General features: G+C 46.0%; 2 long non-coding RNA genes across 4 annotated transcripts in view, besides 4 other annotated features; one reads left to right on the top strand and one right to left on the bottom strand.

The window, feature by feature from the left end:
- Window positions 1-17,740, bottom strand: part of LOC100128988 (uncharacterized) — a 44,684-nt gene that overhangs the window by 12,303 nt on the left and 14,641 nt on the right. For both annotated transcript variants that reach the window (NR_145524.1, NR_145525.1), the window contains exon 2: window positions 7,047-7,195. This is a non-coding gene — a long non-coding RNA (uncharacterized LOC100128988). The remainder of the gene's footprint in view (window positions 1-7,046; window positions 7,196-17,740) is intronic.
- Window positions 1,203-1,252: an enhancer, noted in NCBI's record as "active region_17885". NCBI's record gives its function as "activates an Ori minimal core promoter by ATAC-STARR-seq in GM12878 lymphoblastoid cells {active_cell/tissue: GM12878}" and the evidence as "EXISTENCE:reporter gene assay evidence [ECO:0000049][PMID:35858748]".
- Window positions 1,393-1,552: an enhancer, noted in NCBI's record as "active region_17884". NCBI's record gives its function as "activates an Ori minimal core promoter by ATAC-STARR-seq in GM12878 lymphoblastoid cells {active_cell/tissue: GM12878}" and the evidence as "EXISTENCE:reporter gene assay evidence [ECO:0000049][PMID:35858748]".
- On the top strand, window positions 7,620-17,480 carry LOC105372621 (uncharacterized). 2 transcript variants are annotated; one of them, XR_007067586.1, is made up of 3 exons: window positions 7,620-7,861; window positions 15,786-15,886; window positions 17,354-17,480. It is a non-coding gene; the product is annotated as an uncharacterized LOC105372621 (long non-coding RNA). The 2 variants fall into 2 exon arrangements; XR_936724.4 differs by lacking the exon at window positions 15,786-15,886.
- Window positions 8,634-9,833: an enhancer, noted in NCBI's record as "P300/CBP strongly-dependent group 1 enhancer chr20:39631901-39633100 (GRCh37/hg19 assembly coordinates)". NCBI's record gives its function as "activates an origin of replication core promoter dependent on BRD2, BRD4, P300/CBP, MED14 and CDK7 cofactors, with strong dependence on P300/CBP, by STARR-seq in HCT116 cells {active_cell/tissue: HCT116}" and the evidence as "EXISTENCE:reporter gene assay evidence [ECO:0000049][PMID:35650434]".
- Window positions 15,509-16,083: an enhancer, noted in NCBI's record as "OCT4-NANOG hESC enhancer chr20:39625651-39626225 (GRCh37/hg19 assembly coordinates)". NCBI's record gives its function as "activates a minimal SCP1, AML or CMV promoter by ChIP-STARR-seq in naive H9 embryonic stem cells {active_cell/tissue: H9 hESC(naive)}" and the evidence as "EXISTENCE:reporter gene assay evidence [ECO:0000049][PMID:30033119]".

Here is a 17,740-nt window from a genome sequence, read left to right as displayed (position 1 = left end):
TGCCCTAGAGTGTTCCTGAAACAGCCACAGAGCCAACAGTTAAGTCCCTCCCCCTGGCAGAGTGCCTTCTTGCAAATCCTCACCCACAGAATCAGAAGTATTTTAGATGGGGAGAAGTATACACTGGCTGACAGTTCTTTCCCATCACACCAGGCAAACGGAAATCATTTCTCCAGTCAATCCCTGCCAGTCTTCTAGAGTCAAGGTCTCTCTTATGCCTTGCCTCCTGATCTGCAGTCTGCCTCCCTAGTTTCCCCAATCCTCAGCTGCTGGGTCGGGCTCCCTGCCCATCCATCCACTCACCCAGCCTTCAGCCAACAGCCTCTGTGAGCCTGCTCTGGGCCATGTGATAGCTGAACTAACCCCCATTCCATTCCCACTGTGAGCTGACTTGGTTCTTTAAGTCTTCATTCCAACAAACTCTTTTTTTTGCCTCTTCTGTTTATACTTTCCGCCACCCCTGATCCCAAGTCTTAGGTCCATGGAGATGGCTCATTCCAACCATGGATGATTGTGGGCCTCTTGTCTCATCTGCTTCTTTCTCTTGGCTCTTAATTTCTCTAGATCAGTCATTTTTAAACTATTGTGTGTGTGTGTCTGTGTGTGTGTGTGTGTGTGTGTGTGTGTGTGTGTGAGATAGACTCCTTTGAGAAGCTGATGTGGGCTATGGTATCTCTTCCTCTAATAAATATTAATACCTATGCACTTAAAAACAGCATTTTGCATATAAGTTCTGGTGCACCTAGATCAAGATCTCTCCTTGCCTTCTCCCCTTCCCTCTAGATTTCTGGTTGTTTTTGGTTCCCAAATCAGTCCACCTGGTCTCCTTTCAGAAGCAGAAGCTTCTTCCTACGGTATTATCAATACTGTTATTATTAACAGCAACAGCAAGATTTGTACATTTTTCATGCATCAACTGATTTCAACCTCTCAATAACCCCAAGAGAAAGGAACTATTATTGTCCCATTTTTACAGATGAGAGAGCTGCTTGGTTACATGTTTTGCCAAAATCACATAATTCTAAGTCCAGGGTTTCTTCCTCCGCACGATGGATGGTGTGTTGCCTATTATTAACCACTGTGGTTTTTTTTTAACCTTTCCCATCTCCACCACCCAAAACCTACCTTCCCCACCCCTACCCTCACCCTATGGTGTATTGCCTATGATTCTTAACTGCTGTTTTCTTTGACCTCCTCCACTTCTACCACCTAAAAACCTTCTTCCTCACCACCACCCCCACTTCTCTGAAGCTCCCTCTTTCTCCCCCATCCACTCTTCAGCTGACCACAGGTGGCTTCTTTGTAGTTGCTTGAGCATATGTGAGCCATGAAAGGGTTTCGTTTCCCCTTCTGTTCTCAGCCCAGCTGTGCCAGCCTCTGTGATCCTTGTGAGCTTTAAATGAGGCACTCCAGACCCTTCTTACGCAGGCCATGGCATTTCTGGAACTGCCACACCTAAAATCCAGGTATGAGGAAGGAAGGAGACAACTATTTGAACACCTACATTGTACCAGGCCCCGTGCTTGACATAGAGACACTGAGCCCAACCTTTAAAGGCCTCAGCTTCCAGGTCCTTCCAGGCATCTTACTGATGGGCACCTGGAGGCTCTGAGATGATTGGTCTGATTCCATCTGCAGTCTGTCTGTCTGTCTGTGGGTGGTTAGGGGCCTCTCGGTAGCATGGCTAACCCTTTTTTTATTATTATTATTATTTTTGAGAAGGAGTCTAGCTTTGTTGCCAGGCTGGAGTGTAGTGGCACGATCTTGGTTCACTGCAACCTCTGCCTCTCTGGTTCAAGCGATTCTCCTGCCTCAGTCTCCTGAGTAGCTGGGACTACAGGCGTGTGCCACCATGCCTGGCTAATTTTTGTATTTTTAGTAGAGACAGGGTTTCACCATGTTGGCCAGGATGGTCTCAATCTCTTGACCTTGTGATCTGCTCACCTCAGCCTCCCAAAGTGCTGGGATTACAGGTGTAATCCCAGCCCATACCCAGCCTTAAAACCTTTTATCAAAGTGTGATATAGGCCAGGTGCAGTGGCTCATGCCTGTAATCCAACACTTTGGGAGGCTGAGGTGGGCAGATATGGGAGTTTGAGACCAGCCTGGCCAACATGGTGAGACCCCATGTCTACTAAAAATACAAAAGAGTTAGCCAGGTATGGTGGCACATGCCTGTAATCCTAGCTACTAGAGTGGCTGAGGCAGGAGAATCACTCAACCTGGGTGGCAGAGGTTGCAATGAGCTGAGATGGTGGCCACTGCACTCCAGCCTGGGCAACAGAGTGAGACTGTCTAAAAAAAAAAAATCATCTGAACTGAACCAAGAATCTGTAGCCTCAAAAGGGATTTGGCTATAAACCAATCTTCCACTGAAGGCTCCAGAATCCCAAAGTGTGCTCTTAATAAATGGTCCAGAGCATGTCTGATCAGTTCCTCTGATGCTCAAGTTCTCTGCCCATTGTTGCTTTTTTTCTTACCTTTTTTAAGTTCTGGAAAAAAAAATTAGAGACTCTGGTTAGGAGCCCCCTACCCCACAAAGAACTCTAGCCTTCATCACTCCTTGATTATGAGTGACAGAGAAATCATCATCTCACAAGGCCACATATTGCATTTTTTAGACAGATCTGGCAACTTAGATTTAAATTTTTAAAAACACGCATGTGTGCGCACACATACACACACAATAAAAAAAAATCCTTGTTTGAGCTGAAATATGCTGCAATTTTTGCTCACTAATTCTAGTCCTGCCCTATATGGCCTCCCATAATTAGTTTAGTCAATTCAGTAATCGAGTCTCAGGTGCTGAGGCACTTGAGGCAGACTTCCTCAACTCTACATTCTTCCTGTGGGGATCCTGGGATCTACTGAGTCAGGCATGTGGCTGTATCAACATTTGCCAAAGAACATTCCACTGGACACTAATCCCCCGAAAGGCCTTATGAAAACAGAACCCTGAGCTCAGATAAGTTGGGGAAATGCTATATCGCTCTTCTGGTCTTTATCACATCTCATTCCCCAGAAATCTTTATGAAAACAGAGCTCTGAGCTCAAGTAAGCTGGGGAGATGTTACATGTTCTCTGGTCTGTATCACATCTCACACTAGCACAGAGAAGACTCTTGAGGTCCTAAAGAATTAAAAACCCTGTTTCACTCTGTCAGTGACCGGTCTGACTTAGAATCCTTTTTTCCAAAGAGGAAAATTTCTATGAATTTTTCTCAGAATGAATGTCCTCCAGTACAGGACATAGGCCAGTTAGCTGTAAGCATCCTCTAAAACTACACTGTCTAATCTGATAGCCGCTAGCACCCAGGACTACTGAGCACTTGAAATGTGGCTAGTTCAAACTCAGATGTGCTGTGAGTGTGAAATATACACTGGATTTCAGATTCTTAGTACAAAAATAAAATGAAATATGCATACTTTTTATATTGATATATGTTGAAATATTGGGTTAAAATTTGTTATTAAAATTAATTTCATCTATTTACTGTTACTTTTTAAAATGTGGCTACTAGAGACCAGGCACAATGGCTCACACCTGTAATCTCAGCATTTGGGGAGGCTGAGGCAGGTGGATCCCCTGAGCTCAGGTGTTTGAGACTAGCTTGGGCAACATGACGAAATGCTATCTATATCAAAACTACAAAAAATTAGCTGGGTGTGGTGATGTGCACCTGTGGTCCCAGCTACTTGGAAGCTGAGGTGGGAGAATCACTTGAGCCTGGGAGACAGAGGCTACTAGAAAATTGATTTATTTTATTTATTTTTTTTTAGACACAGGGTCTCAGCCTGTCACCCAGGCTGGAGTGCAGTGGCATGGTCATGGCTCACGGCAGGCTCGAGCAATCTTCCCACCTCAGCCTCCTGAGTAGCTGGGACTACAAATGCATGCCACCATGCCTGGCTAATATTTGTATTTTTGTAGAAACAGGATTTTACGGCCGGGCGCGGTGGCTCACGCCTGTAATCCCAGCACTTTGGGAGGCCGAGGCGGGCGGATCACGAGGTCAGGAGATTGAGACCATCCCAGCTAAAACGGTGAAACCCCGTCTCTACTAAAAATACAAAAAATTAGCCGGGCGTAGTGGCGGGCGCCTGTAGTCCCAGCTACTTGGGAGGCTGAGGCAGGAGAATGGCGTGAACCCGGGAGGCGGAGCTTGCAGTGAGCCGAGATCCCGCCACTGCACTCCAGCCTGGGCGACAGAGCGAGACTCCGTCTCAAAAAAAAAAAAAAAAAAAAAAAAAAAGAAACAGGATTTTACCATGATCACTTGAGCCACCCATCTCGGACTCTCAAAGTGCTGGGATTACAGGCATGAGCCACCGCACCCAACCCAAAAATTTATAATTATGCACGTGGCATGCATTGTATTTTCATTGGAGAGTGCTGCCCCAGTGTTCTGTGCTGCTGGGGAAGGCTGTTTTGGGCTGTACAGGGGAATGTGAGAAGGAGGGGGTGGGTAACCCAGTGTAGGAAGTATAAGGGAACTGCGGGATTCACTGGAAGGGCAGCTCAGGAAGCCTAAGAGCAGGGTGGTCAGGAAGTGGTGACTAAGCTGAGACCTGAAAGATGAGAAGGAGTTAGCTGGAGGAAGGCAGAGAAAACAGCAGGGGTCAAAGCCTTGAAGTGAAAGAGGAACTGTATGTATTCCAGGACGTCCAAGGCTTCAGGGGCAGAGGGTAGACAGTGACCCAACCTGACCCCAGAGAAGGCAGCAAGGGCCAAGACTTTTAGGGCCAGGCAAGCCTCTGTAAAGGGTTTATCCTGAGGGCACTGTGAAGCCATGGCAGAGTTTTCAGCTGGTTGAGACTAGACAGATTTGCATTTTAGAAAGATTGCCCCTGACATTTTGAGTGGGGTATGGATGGATGGAAGGATAAACTGGAGGCAGAGGAGCTTTTACAGAAACTGTTGAAGTTATCTAAGAGGGAGATGATAAAAGTCTGGACTATGCTACATCCCTTTGAATTGAAGGCCAATGTCTAGGAAATAGACTTGGAATGGGGACCACTAATCCCAGGCTATTTGGAGATAGAAATAGGGGAGAGGGTGGAGTCAACATTAGTATCTGGGGTTCTGAGTAGTAAGGCTATGATGGGAGACCAGAAATCTATGGGAGGGGAAGAGGATGAGTTCAAGGTGACTTTGAGAAGCATGTGGGGTTATAAGTAGGAATATCTGAGACAAAGTAGATAGCCAGGTTTAGAGGTTGGAAGACAGTTATGGGCTGGAGATAGAGTTGGGCAGGAAATGTCTCCCCTATGAGCCTTAGGTTCCTTATCTGCAAAATGGGGATGTAATCTACTTCCCAGAGTTAGTGTGATGATTAGATTATGTAACATTGATGGCAGTGGTGGCCTGTCTAGAGTGGCCACTGCCATGATGCAGGCTGCAGTGGGGGAGGTGCTCCACAGAACCAGCAGGAGCCGGGAACAGGCAGAAGCCCTGCCGTCTTCTGAGTTGACAGGGTGGAAGCTTCATGCTCCTTGGGCGCAGCTGCAGCTGCCCAAGCCAGGGCTGCAGACCCAGGCATCTCTGCACTCTTGGGGGCCCAGGAAGGCCCCCCTGCCCCTGCAGGCTCAGAAATGCCTGCTTCCACTGCCTGGCCTTTCCCTGCTCCTGGCACCTGCTTCGATTTCAGAGCAAAGTTGAGGCTGATCCCAGGCACTGTCGCAACCCAGCTGGGTGTGTGCATGCTTGGGGCAGCACTGACACACCAGCCCCCTGCCACCTTGGCCCACTTCAGACTTTGGGCACAAACTAACATGGAAGGGAGACCAAGGAAGGGCTGAGGGCAGCTCAGCACTGGCCTGCAGGTGCCCCTCTGCCTGAACAGCCTGGGTGCTATGAACAGTGGCAGGAGGCAGATAGGCTCTGGACAAAAAGGGGTGGGTCCCTGGTGAAGCCCCACCTTCAATCCTGGGAAGGCCTGAAGCCTGGGGGCCAGGCTGCCAGTCCTGCAGATTGGAGTAGGAACTTATGGTGCCTTTTCTGGGCCTGCCCATGGCCAACCATGGACCAATCAGCACACACTTCCTCCCCTCTGAAGCCCATAAGAACCTGGACTCAGCCAGACTCAGAGAGATGTTGGGACAACCAGCTGCAGAAAGGAGCTATCCCCTCTGAAGTCTCCTCTCTGCTGGGAGCTCAGCAGACATCAGGATGACCAGCTGCGGAGAGAAGCTACCCATTCCAGGGTCTTGTAGCTCCTCTCTGCTGAGAGCTGAACATTAAAGTTGAACATTAATGGGACACCCTGGCAGCAGAGAGGAGCTACCCACTGTGAGTCTCCTCTGAGCTGCTCTATTGCTCAGTAAAGCTCTTCAGCTTGCTCACCCTCCACTTGTCTGTGTACCTCATTCTTCCCGGGCATGGGACAAGAACTCAGGACCTCCTGAATGGCAGGGCTGAAAGCGCTGTAACACAAACACGGCTGAAACACACCTCTTGCTCACCACGTTGTGGGTAAGAAGAAGGGGAGAAGAGCTGAGGCCCTTCGGGGACCCCAGACCTAGGAGCTCCCTGAGCCAGGGCTGTGACACCCTCTTTGGGGGTCTGGTTCCTGACATATCCAAGCCCCCAGGAACCATTGCATTCCCCAGTGGCAGCAGTGGAAGCTGCTTGCAGGATGCCTGTTCCAGCTGCAGCCTCGTAAGAAGCCAGCACTCATGCTGGCACCTGGAGCTGCCCACTCCACCACAGCCATTGTTCCTGGCTGTGCACAGTGGCTGGACCCCACGCTTGCTTGCTCACACATATCCTCGCTGCTCCGCTCGCCCTTGGCAGGCAGGGGATCCAGGCCATTAGCACGAGCTGAGCATAGCCTGCCAGGCCAAGTGGGCGCAATGAGCCTGAGCAAAACTCTGGCAAAGGCACCACTGGCTACAGAGGTTTCTGGCTGGTGAAGTGACAGCCCAAGGATCCCATAATGACATGTTGGATGTGCCTGGCATTGCACAGACACACAGTAGGTGTTGGGAAGCACTGGTTCTTTCTTTCAGAGGGTCTGTCATCCTCGTTTCCCGCATGGCCGAACTTACCAAGGTCTTTGCAGCTTCTGCTTCCTTCTGTAGTACTCATGGGTCCCACATCTGTGCTTACAAAGTCCCTAGTGTAGTGATGGGGAGATGTTTCTGGAAGCAGTAGTGGGAAAGGGTGAGTGAAGGCAGCTCCCCCTGCCTGGGTAGTCCTAGAATAGGAAGGGGGTGAACAGTCAATACATGCAGTGGAGAGGACTCTGACCTGGGAGGAAGGAAGACAAGCTACTTGCCCCAACCGTGCCACCAGCACAATCAGTAAACCTTGCTCTGTTCTAAGCCTCAGTTTCTCCACTTCTTCAAGGAAGGGTCTTCCAGCTGAGCGCTTCCCTGTTTCTGTCCCTATCTCCTTCTCTCTCCCAGAAAGTTTCTTGCCTTCTCTTGACTTACAGAAGACATCACTTCCTTGAAGACTTGGCTCACTATAAGCCTCCTGGCGGCTCCTTCCTGGGGCACTGGGCCAAACTCCTGACACGATTAAGAAGAGGTTTTGGAACTGGGCCAGACTAGGAAAACAGGAAAGATGACGAACAAAGCTTCCCTCCTTCTGAGGGTTGTTTATTCCAGTGTTCCTTCAGTTGAGTTTTCTGGGTACACAGCAGCCCTTGGCTTTCCATCCCATGTGCAGCCTCTGGCCCAGCACTTAGTCCACTCTCAGTCATAGAGCTTATCACACAGACTTGCTCCAGTGCCCACTTGTCCAACTGCCCCAAACTCCTGGAAACCAGAAAGAACACAGATGTATCTCAACTGAGTGCCTACCATATTTCTACAGGAGGAACTGTCTTCGCATAAAAGCCCCTCTGCAGCTCCTTAAGGTAAGCAGTGTTCTTTCCATTTTGCAGCCATGAAAACTGAGGTCAGGGAGGCTCCCCAAGGTCACCCAGCATGTTGGTGTTGGATCCAGAAATGGAGGGAGTTGGAAGGGAGGACGTCTTATCAGTTAAGACAATATTCTTTGGAGGCTGATGAACCTTTCTGAGTTTGAATTTTGACTGTCACTTACTGCCTGTGGAATCTGGACAAGTTCCTAGTGGGAAGCAGTTTTGGGTCACAGTGGGGATCACAGACTCTGGAATCAAATGTCGGTTCCACCATCTGCTAGTTATGTGACCTTGGGCAAGTTCCTTTGCCTCTCTGCACTTCAGTTTCCACAGCTGTCAAACAGGATAATAATAGTGCCTGCCTCATCAACTTGTCGTGTGGATTAAACGTGATAATCCTTGTGGGGCGTTTAGCACAGTGTCTGGCCCATGGTCCAGTGCCATCTATGTCAGCAATGGTTTGAATGCAGGCCCCACTGACTCTGGCTACCACCTGTTTCCCTGCCTATCACCTGTCACCCTGGTGGCTCACTCATCACTTGGCGTGCTGTAGGTGCTCCCGGGCTTACTGACTGAAGGAGTGGTTGAGAATTGACTCAGTGTTTCTGAAAGCAGGCTTCTGATAATGTGTGGGAGAAGGATTCTGGAGGAAGATGATTTTCAGGAGTTTCCCAACCAATCAGCAAGTAATTGCTTTTTGCACACTAGTATGGACTTAGACCAGTTTCAGATTGGTTCTCTGAATGCTACCTGTGCAATCAGAAGCATACCTATACTCACGCCTATAGAAGCAATCTATACTGATTGTGGAGTGTTCAAATGCTACATAAAGACCGAAAGCAGAGAGTTAAAGTTCTAAGTAAACTTGCTTCAAAAGGGTTGCCCACTGTTTATCTGAGGCATGTCCTTCCAGAATTTGCCTAAGCCCTATACCTTTTTTTTGTTTTTTTTTTTTTGAGACAGGGTCTCACTCTGTCACCCAGGCTGGAGTGTAGTGGCATGTGATCCTGGATCACTGCAACCTCTGCCTTCTGGGCTCAAGCAATCCTAGCACCTCAGCCTCCCAAGTAGCTGGGACCACAGGTGCACACCACCACACCTGACTTTTTTTTTTCTTTGTAGAGGCAGAGTTTTGCCATGTTGCCCACGGTGATCTTGAACTCTTGGGCTTAAGTGATCTGCCCGCCTCGACCTCCCAAAGTGCTGGGATTATAGGCGTGAGCCACAATGCCCGGCCTATATGCCTATGCCTCATTTTTGAGTGTCACTGTGTACCCTAGTCGGTGTTAGACACTGCAGGTCCCCGAAGAAGTAGAGGTGACTGTCTGTACCTTAGGGGCAGGCACAGTTGGGGCGGGACCCAGAATTCATGGAACACTTAATCAGCAATTAAAATGTCCACAGGACCAGTGACTCACTCATTTAATACGTACTTAACATTTGTGGTTCGGAGACCCGGAAATGACAAATCAAGGTCCTACTTGGTTTCAGAGTGAGCCCCGAGATTGAATCAGCAAGGAAACCTTTTGGTATACTTGCCTCCTGATTATGGGCCTGTCAACAAGCCTCAGTGGGAGGGCAGGACGGGTGATGTGTCCTCACTGCCCAGAAAATTGCACTTTCCTGCCTCATTTATTGTATGTAGAGAAGTGAACTGAGGAGCCCGACAGGCTGGGCTTGCCACAGGTGGTTTCTAGGACCTTGGGTGACTCACTCCCTTCTCTGAGCCTCAGGTTTCTCATTTGAAGCATGGGGAGGCTCCTCCTGCCTTGAAAGGCACATTTCTCATTCATTCATTCGTTTGTAAAAGATGGTATTTCATAAGAATGTGGAGGGATGACTCAATAAACATAGCCATCTGGGGGAAAAAAAGAATTGGGTGATTTGGTAGATTGTATTACTGTTCAGCAAATATTTACTTTCCCCAGCCCCCACCACCACGGAAGGAATATACTTCCTCACCCTGTTGATATTGCACTTGGCCACGTGACTTGCTTTGGCCATGAGAATATGTGTGGAAGTCACAGGGGCCAGGCCCAAGGCACAAAGTGTTTCCATTCATCCCTTTGAGCAACTGTCCTCGGCCATGAGAACCACAAGTCCCAGACAGTGGAGGCTCCTTCAGCCTGGACTCCAAATGAGAAGATATATGAGACAGCCACCTACTCACCCCAAAGCCTGGAGCCCAGCCCAGCTAGCCCCAGAAAGCCCTGCAGAGCCCCAGCTTGACCCACAGACCCCTGGGCAAGAAGTGAATGTTTACTGCTGTAAGCACCAGGCTTCTGGAAGTTGTCTTTTATGCATCATTGTCACAGCAAAATCTGACCAATGTGGATCCCTGGCTCACTCCTTATATTGATTTTAGCTTGGGTCTTGAGCGAGGATTTTCTTTTTTTTTCTTTTTTATTATTATTATTTTTTTCGATACAGTGTCTCACTCTGTCACCCAGGCTGGAATGCAATGGTGCGATCTCGGCTCACTGCAACCTCCGCCTCCCTGGTTCAAGCAATTCTTCTGCCTCAGCCTCCCGAGTAGCTGGGATCACAGGGGCCTGCCACCACACCTGGCTAATTTTTGTATTTTTAGTAGAGATGGGGTTTCACCATGTTTGCCAGGCTGGTCTAGAACTCCTGGGCTCAGGTGATCCGCCCGCCTCAGCCTCCCAAAGTGCTGGGATTACGGGCGTGAGCCACCATGCCCGACCGAGCAAGGATTTTCTCATTAGATGATATTTGACCTGAGATCTGAATGTTTAAGAGCTAGTCATGTGGCCATCTAGGGGAGAAATATGCCAGGCAACAGGAATAGCAATGCCATGGTCCTGAGGCTGGAGGAAACTTGGCCTGTTCAGGAAAAGAAAGAAGGCCAGTGTGGGGCCAGGCATGGTGGCTCACGCCTGTAATCCTAGCACTTTGGGAGGCTGAGGCAGGCAGATCATGAGGTCAGGAGATTGAGACCATCCTGGCTAACATGGTGAAAACCCGTCTCAACTAAAAATACAAAAAATTAGCTGGGCGTGGTGGCGGGCGCCTGTAGTCCCAGCTACTCGGGAGGCTGAGGCAGGAGAATGGTGTGAACCCGGGAGGCAGAGCTTACAGTGAGCCGAGATCATGCCACTGAACTCCAGCCTGGGCAACAGAGCAAGACTCCGTCTCAAAAAAAAAAATAAATAAATAAAATAAAATAAAGAGAAGACCAGTGTGAAATAAATAAGGGTTGTTTGGTATCTGAGAGGGAGATAGTCTGAGCTCTAGACTCATATGTTCAATAGGGCACTTCAGGCTGGGCATGGTGGCTCACACCTGTAATTATTTTATTTTTAATTGACACATAATGATTGTATTTATGGGGTACAATGTGATGTTTCAATACGTATATACACTATGATAATCAAATCAAGGTAATTAAAAAATCCATCACCTCAAACATTTATCGTTTCTTTGTGGCGAGAAGATTTCAAATCCTCTTTTCTGCTATTTTGAGATGTACATTATTCTTAACTATAGTCACCCTATTGTGCAATAGAACACCAGAACTTATTTCTCCTACCTAATTGTAACGTGGTACTTATTGGCCAACCTCTCCTCCTCCTCCCTCTACCAATCCCTCCCTAGCCTCTAGTAACCACTATTTTACTCTCTGCTTCTATGAGATTTAAAACAAAAATTCTTTTTTTGTTTTGAGACAGGGTCTTTGTCACCCAGGCTGGAGTGCAGTGGTGCAATTACAGCTCACTGCAGCCTTGAACTTCTGGGCTCAAGTGATCCTCCTGCCTCAGCCTCCTGAGTAGCTGAGAACCACAGGAATGTACCACCCCACCCAGAATTTTTTTTTTTTTTGAGTCAGAGTCTTGCTCTGTTGCCCAGGCTGGAGTGCAGTGGCGCGATCTTGGCTTACTGCAACCTCCGCCTCCCGGGTTCAAGCAACTCTCCTGCCTCAGCCTCCCAAGTAGCTGGGATTACAGGTGCCTGCCACCATGCCCGGCTAATTTTTTTTGTATTTATAGTAGAGATGGGGTTTCACCATATTGGTCAGGCTGGTCTCGAACTCCTGACCTTGTGATCCGCCCACCTCAGCCTCCCAAAGTGCTGGAATTACAGGCATGAGCCACTGCGCCTACCCAGAAAAATTTTTAAATTTTTTGTAGAGATGGAGTCTTCGTATGTTGCTCACGCTGGTCTTGAACTCCTGGATTCAAGCAATCCTCCTTTCTTGGCCTCCCAAAGTGTTGGGATTACAGGCTTGAGCCACTGTGCCAAGTGGAGATCGATTTTTTTAGGTTCCACAGATAAGAACATACAGTTTGTTTTTCTGTGTCTGGCTTATTTCACATAACATAAAGTCACCAGATTCATCCATGTAGTCACAAATGAACAGGATTTAGTCCTTTTTTATGGCTGAATAGTATTCCATTGTTTACATGTACTTCATTGTCTTCATCCATTCGTTCATTGATGAACACTTAAGTTGATTCCATACACTGGCTATTGTGAATAATGCTGTAATAAATATGGGAGCACAGATACCTCTTTGACATGCTGATTTCCTTTCCTTTCCTTTCCTTTATTTTATTTTATTTTCAAGACAGGGTCTCACTCTGTTGTCCAGGCTGGAGTGCAGTGGTGCCATCTCGGCTCACTGCAACCTCTGCCTCCCAGGTTCAAGTGATTCTCCTGTCTCGGCCTTCCAAATAGCTGGGACTACAGGCACGTGCCACCACACCCAGCTAATCTTTTGTATTTGTAGTAGAGACAAGGTTTTACCATGTTGGCCAGGCTGGTCTCAAACTCCTGGCCTCAAGATCCACCTGTCACGGCCTCCCAAAGTGCTGGGATTACAGGCATGAGCCACTGGGCCCAGCCTATTTCTTTTAGATGTATACCTAGTAGTTGGATTCCTGGATCATATGGTAGTTCCATTTTTAATTTTGGGGGGAACCTCCATACTGTTTTCTACAACAGCTGTACTAATTTACAGTTCCACCAACAGCGTGTAAGGGTTCCCTTTTGTCTGCATCCTCGCCAACACTCGTCTTTTGTCTTTTTGATAATAATGGTTCTAACTGGAGTGAGATGATATCTGTTTATGGATTTGATTTGCATTTCCCTGATGACTAGTGATGTTGAGCATTCTTTCAAATATCTGTTGGCCATTTGTAACTCTTATTTTGAGAAATGTCTATTCAGGTCTTTTTTCCACTTTAAAATTGGACTATTTGGTTTGTTTTTTGTTTTTGTTTTTGTTTATTGCTATTGAGTTGTCTGAGTTACTTATATATTCTGGATATTAACCAGATGTATAGTTTGCAAATATTTTCTCCCACTCTGTGTGTTATCTCTTCATGCGTTGTTTTTTTGTGCAGAAGCTTTTCAGTTTGATGTAATTCCATTTGTCTATGTTTGCTTTTGATGCCTGTACTTTATTTTTGAGACAGAGTCTTGTTCTGTCGTCCAGGCTGGAGTGCAGTGGTGTGCTCTCAGCTCACTGCAACCGCCACCTTCCGAGTTCGAGCGATTTTCCTGCCTCAACCTTCTGAGAGTAGCTGGGACTACAAGTGTATGTCACTACCACCAGCTAGTTTTTGTATTTTTAGCAAAGACAGGTTTTCGCCATGTTGGCCAGGCTGGTCTCGAACTCCGGACCTCACGTGATCCGCCCACCTTGGCCTCCCAAAGTTCTGGGATTACAGGCATGAGCCACTGCACCCAGCCTATGCCTGTGCTTTTGAGGGCTTATCTAAAAAACCCTTGTCCAAAACAATGTCAAAAAATGTGTCCCCATGTTTTCTTCTAGTAGAGTTTCATAGTTTTGGATCTTAGATCTAAGTGTTTAATCCATTTTGAGTTGATTTTTGTATATGGTGAAAGGTAGGGGTCTAGTTTAATTTTTTTGCATATAAATACCCAATTTTCCTGGCACCATGTATTGATGACACTGTCCTTTCCCCCGATGTGTGTTGTTTGCACCTTTGTTGAAAAATGAGTTGGCTGTAGTTGTAGGGATTTATTTCTGTTCTCTCTATTCTGTTTCATTGGTCTATACATCTGTTTCTAAGTAGTTTGAAGTACTAGCCAATGTATTTCTTTTTTTGTATAATGCCTTTTATCTTATCACATTTCTCTGGTTCCTTTGGCCTTGGAGGTGGTTTTTATAGCAGAAGTGCAGAAAGTATGAAAATAAGCAAATATTAGCTTTTTCTCCTCTTTAGTATGGGAAATTTTAAGCATTTACAAAAGTAAAGAGAATAATGTAATGAACCCTTACATACTCATCACCCAACTTAAAGTGATCAACTTATGGGTAAACTTTTTTTTTGAGACGGAGTCTTGCTCTGTCGCCCAGGCTGGAGTGCAGTGGTGCGATCTCAGCTCACTGCAAACTCCGCCTCCCGGGTTCATGCCATTCTCCTGCCTCAGTCTCCTGAGTAGCTGGGACTACAGGCGCCCCCCCACCATGCCCAGCTAATTTTTTTTTTTTTTGTATTTTTAGTAGAGACGGGGTTTCACCATGTTAGCCAGGATGGTCTCGATCTCATGACCTCATGATCCACCTGCCTCGGCCTCCCAAAGTGCTGGGATTACAGGTGTAAGCCACCGCGCCCGGCCAGATAAACTTCTTTAATTATATGCCCATCTACTCTCTCCTTTATGGAATAATTTCTGTGCAGATCTCAAACATCATATCATTTCATCAGTAAACATTTCTCCATGTCGCTCTAAAAAAGGAACTTTAAACATGTAGCCACAATTATTATTATTACACCAAAAAAAACCAACAACAATTCTTAATATAATCCAATATCCAGTCCATGTTTAAATATACTGAATTGGCCAGGCACGGTGGCTCATGCCTGTAATCCCAGCACTTTGGGAAGCCGAGACGGGAGGATCACTTAAGGTCGGAAGTTCAAGACCAGTCTGGCCAATATGGCGAAACCCTGTCTCTACTAAAAATACAGAAATTAGCCGGGCATGGCGGCATGCACCCGTGGTCTCAGCTACACGGGAGGCAGAGGTTGCAGTGAGCCGAGATGGTGCCACTGCACTCCAGCCTGGGCAACAGAACTACACTCTGTCTCAAAAAAAAAAAAAAAATATATATATATATATATATATGTCTATGTGTGTGTGTGTGTGTGTGTATACCCAATTGTTGCATGTAATGTGTTTATTTGAAACAAGATCCAAACAAGGTCCACACAATCCACTGATTGGTAATAATTAAGTCTCTTTTACCCTTTAGGCTCTCCCTTTCTCTCTTTTTTAAGTGTGGAAGGTGGAATAAGCAGGATTGGAGAGATTTTCCCTTGCTCTGTCTTCAGTTCGTTTATTGAAGAAATAAGAGGCTGGGCAGGGTGGCTCATGCTTGTAATCTCAGCATTTTAGGAGGCTGAGGCTGGTGGATCACTTGAGGTCAGGAGTTCAAGACCAGACTGGTCAACATGGTGAAAACCCGTTGCTACCAAAAAACAAACAAACAAATAAAAACACCACCACAACCAACACCCCCCCCCCCAAACAACAAACAAAAGCAACAACAAAATTAGCCAGGTGTGGTGGCACATGCCTGTAGTCCTAGCTACTTGGGAGGCTGAGGCAGGAGAATCACTTGAACCTGGGAGGTGGAGGTTGTAGTGAGCGGAGATTGCACCACTGCACTCCAGCCTAGGCCACAGAGTGAGACCCTGTCTCAAAAAAAAAAAAAAAAAAAAAAAAAAAATATATATATATATATATATATATATGGCATTTATCTTGTAGAGTCTTCTATCTTCTGGTTTGTGGATTGCATCCCTGTGGTGTCATCTAACACATGAGTCCCCAATCCTTTGTACTGGTCCTCGGCCTGATTCCTAACAGGCCACACAGCAGGAGGTGAGTGGTGGGCCACTGAGCGAAGCTTCATTTGTATTTACAGCTGCTCCCCATCGCTCGAATTACCACCTGAGCTCTGCTTCCTGTCTGATCAGCAGCAGCATTTGATTCTCATAGGAGTGCGAACTCTTGTGAACTGCGCATGTGAGTGATCTAGGTTGCATGCTTCTTATGAGAGTCTAAGTAATGCCTGATGATCTGAGTTAGAACAATTTCATCCTGACCCCTTCCCTTGTCTGTGGAAAAAATAGTCTATGAAAAATCGTCTTCTATGTTTCATCCTGACTCCCTCCCTTGTCTGTGGAAAAACTGTCTTCTAGCCCAAAAATTGTCTTCTACGGCATGGTCCCTAGTGCCAAAAAGGTTGGGGACCGCTGATCTAACACATTCCTCTGACTTCTAGTTCATGTGACTAGTATCTTAATAAAGTCAGGTTAAGTGTTTTTAGCAAGAATGCTTCATAGGTAATATTGTGTACCTATACCAGGAGGCACATTGAGTATATTTGTCTCATTCTGTGCGATTCCTAGGCATTGACGATCATGGCCTAGATCCATTGTTTCCTTAAAGTGTGTAAAGTACAAAATGCAAAATTCAAATTCTTTAGATTTTTTCCTCATTACTTAGCTGAAATAATTCTGTAAGGAGAAATTTTCTCTCACCAATTATTTGGTTACAAGGAGATACGGTTCATACAGAAAAAGTAGAAAAGGTGCTTGATTCTTTCCCTTTATTTACCTATTTTCAAAATAATGAGTTGGTGTCCTAACATGCTCAAAGGGAATCCAGTGAAGTTTTCCTTTTCCCTCCCTCTCTCCCTCCTCTTTCTTTTTTCTTTTTTCTTCCTCTCTTTTTCTTCCTTTCCTTTCCTTTCTTTCCTTCCTTCTCTCTCTTTCTTTCTTTCTTGCTTTCTTTCCTTTCTCTCCCTTCCTTCCTTCCCTCCCTCCCTCCCTTTTCTTTCTTGCTTTCTTAGGTGCTTTATTGAAAAAGAAATTACATAACATAAACTGCTCATTCTTAAAGTATATAATTTGATAATAAGTATCATAAAAAGATTGCTACTGCTGTTACTGTCTTGACTCAAGAATGGCTCCATACCTACTTATTTAAAAAAATTGGCTGGGCACAGTGGCTCATGCCTGTAATCCTAGCACTTTGGGAGGCTGAGGCAGGTGGATCACCTGAGGTCAGGAGTTCGAGACCAGCCTGACCAACATGGTGAAACTCTGTCTGTACTAAATATAAAAATTTAGCTGGGTGTGGTGGCGCATGCCTGTAATCCCAGCTACTTGGGAGGCCGAGGCAGGAGAATTGCTTGAACCTAGGAGGCAGAAATTGCAGTGAGCCAAGATTGCACCATTGCACTCCAGGCTGGGCAACAAGAATGAAACTCCAGCTCAGAAAAAAAATTCAGAAAAACAAGGAAAATATAGCAAATAAGTTGCCTGTAATTGACACATAATAGTTGTGCATATTTATGGGGTACAGTATGATATTTCAATACATGTGTACAATGTGTAACGATCAAATCAGGATAATTAGCCAATCTATCACTTCTCTTTTTTTGAGTATCATTATAAACTTATGGATTTTGAATCTGTTTTATTTTAGATCCTACTGATGCTTCAATTGCCTCATCTTTGGTCAACAAGAGCCTCTTCAAGACATTGGCTTCTGAGCCCTTTTGACATGACACTATAGCTTTATTGCTTTCTGGAATGAAAAAGTCTTCTTGGTTCATCTTGTATATTTTTTGCTCCAGACCTTGAATCAGCTATTTCTCCTAGGAGCCCTGGTTCTTTTGTGGGAAATGGTATTTTGATATTGCAACCTTTTCTCTAGGGGTGCTCATAGTTATTGCAGTGGTAATTGTTTCTAGGCCTTTTTAGTGGGTAGAGCTAGAGAAAAAAAGTTTTAAGAGATCTTGAGTTCATACTGATATTTTAAATTTCAATTTAGGGTATAGCATTTTTATTTCTTTTATGTTTATATTTTTTC

This window comes from Homo sapiens, chromosome 20 (assembly GCF_000001405.40).
Source record: "Homo sapiens chromosome 20, GRCh38.p14 Primary Assembly".
Classification (NCBI taxonomy): domain Eukaryota; kingdom Metazoa; phylum Chordata; class Mammalia; order Primates; family Hominidae; genus Homo; species Homo sapiens.
This window is presented reverse-complemented; position numbering and strand designations above follow the sequence as displayed.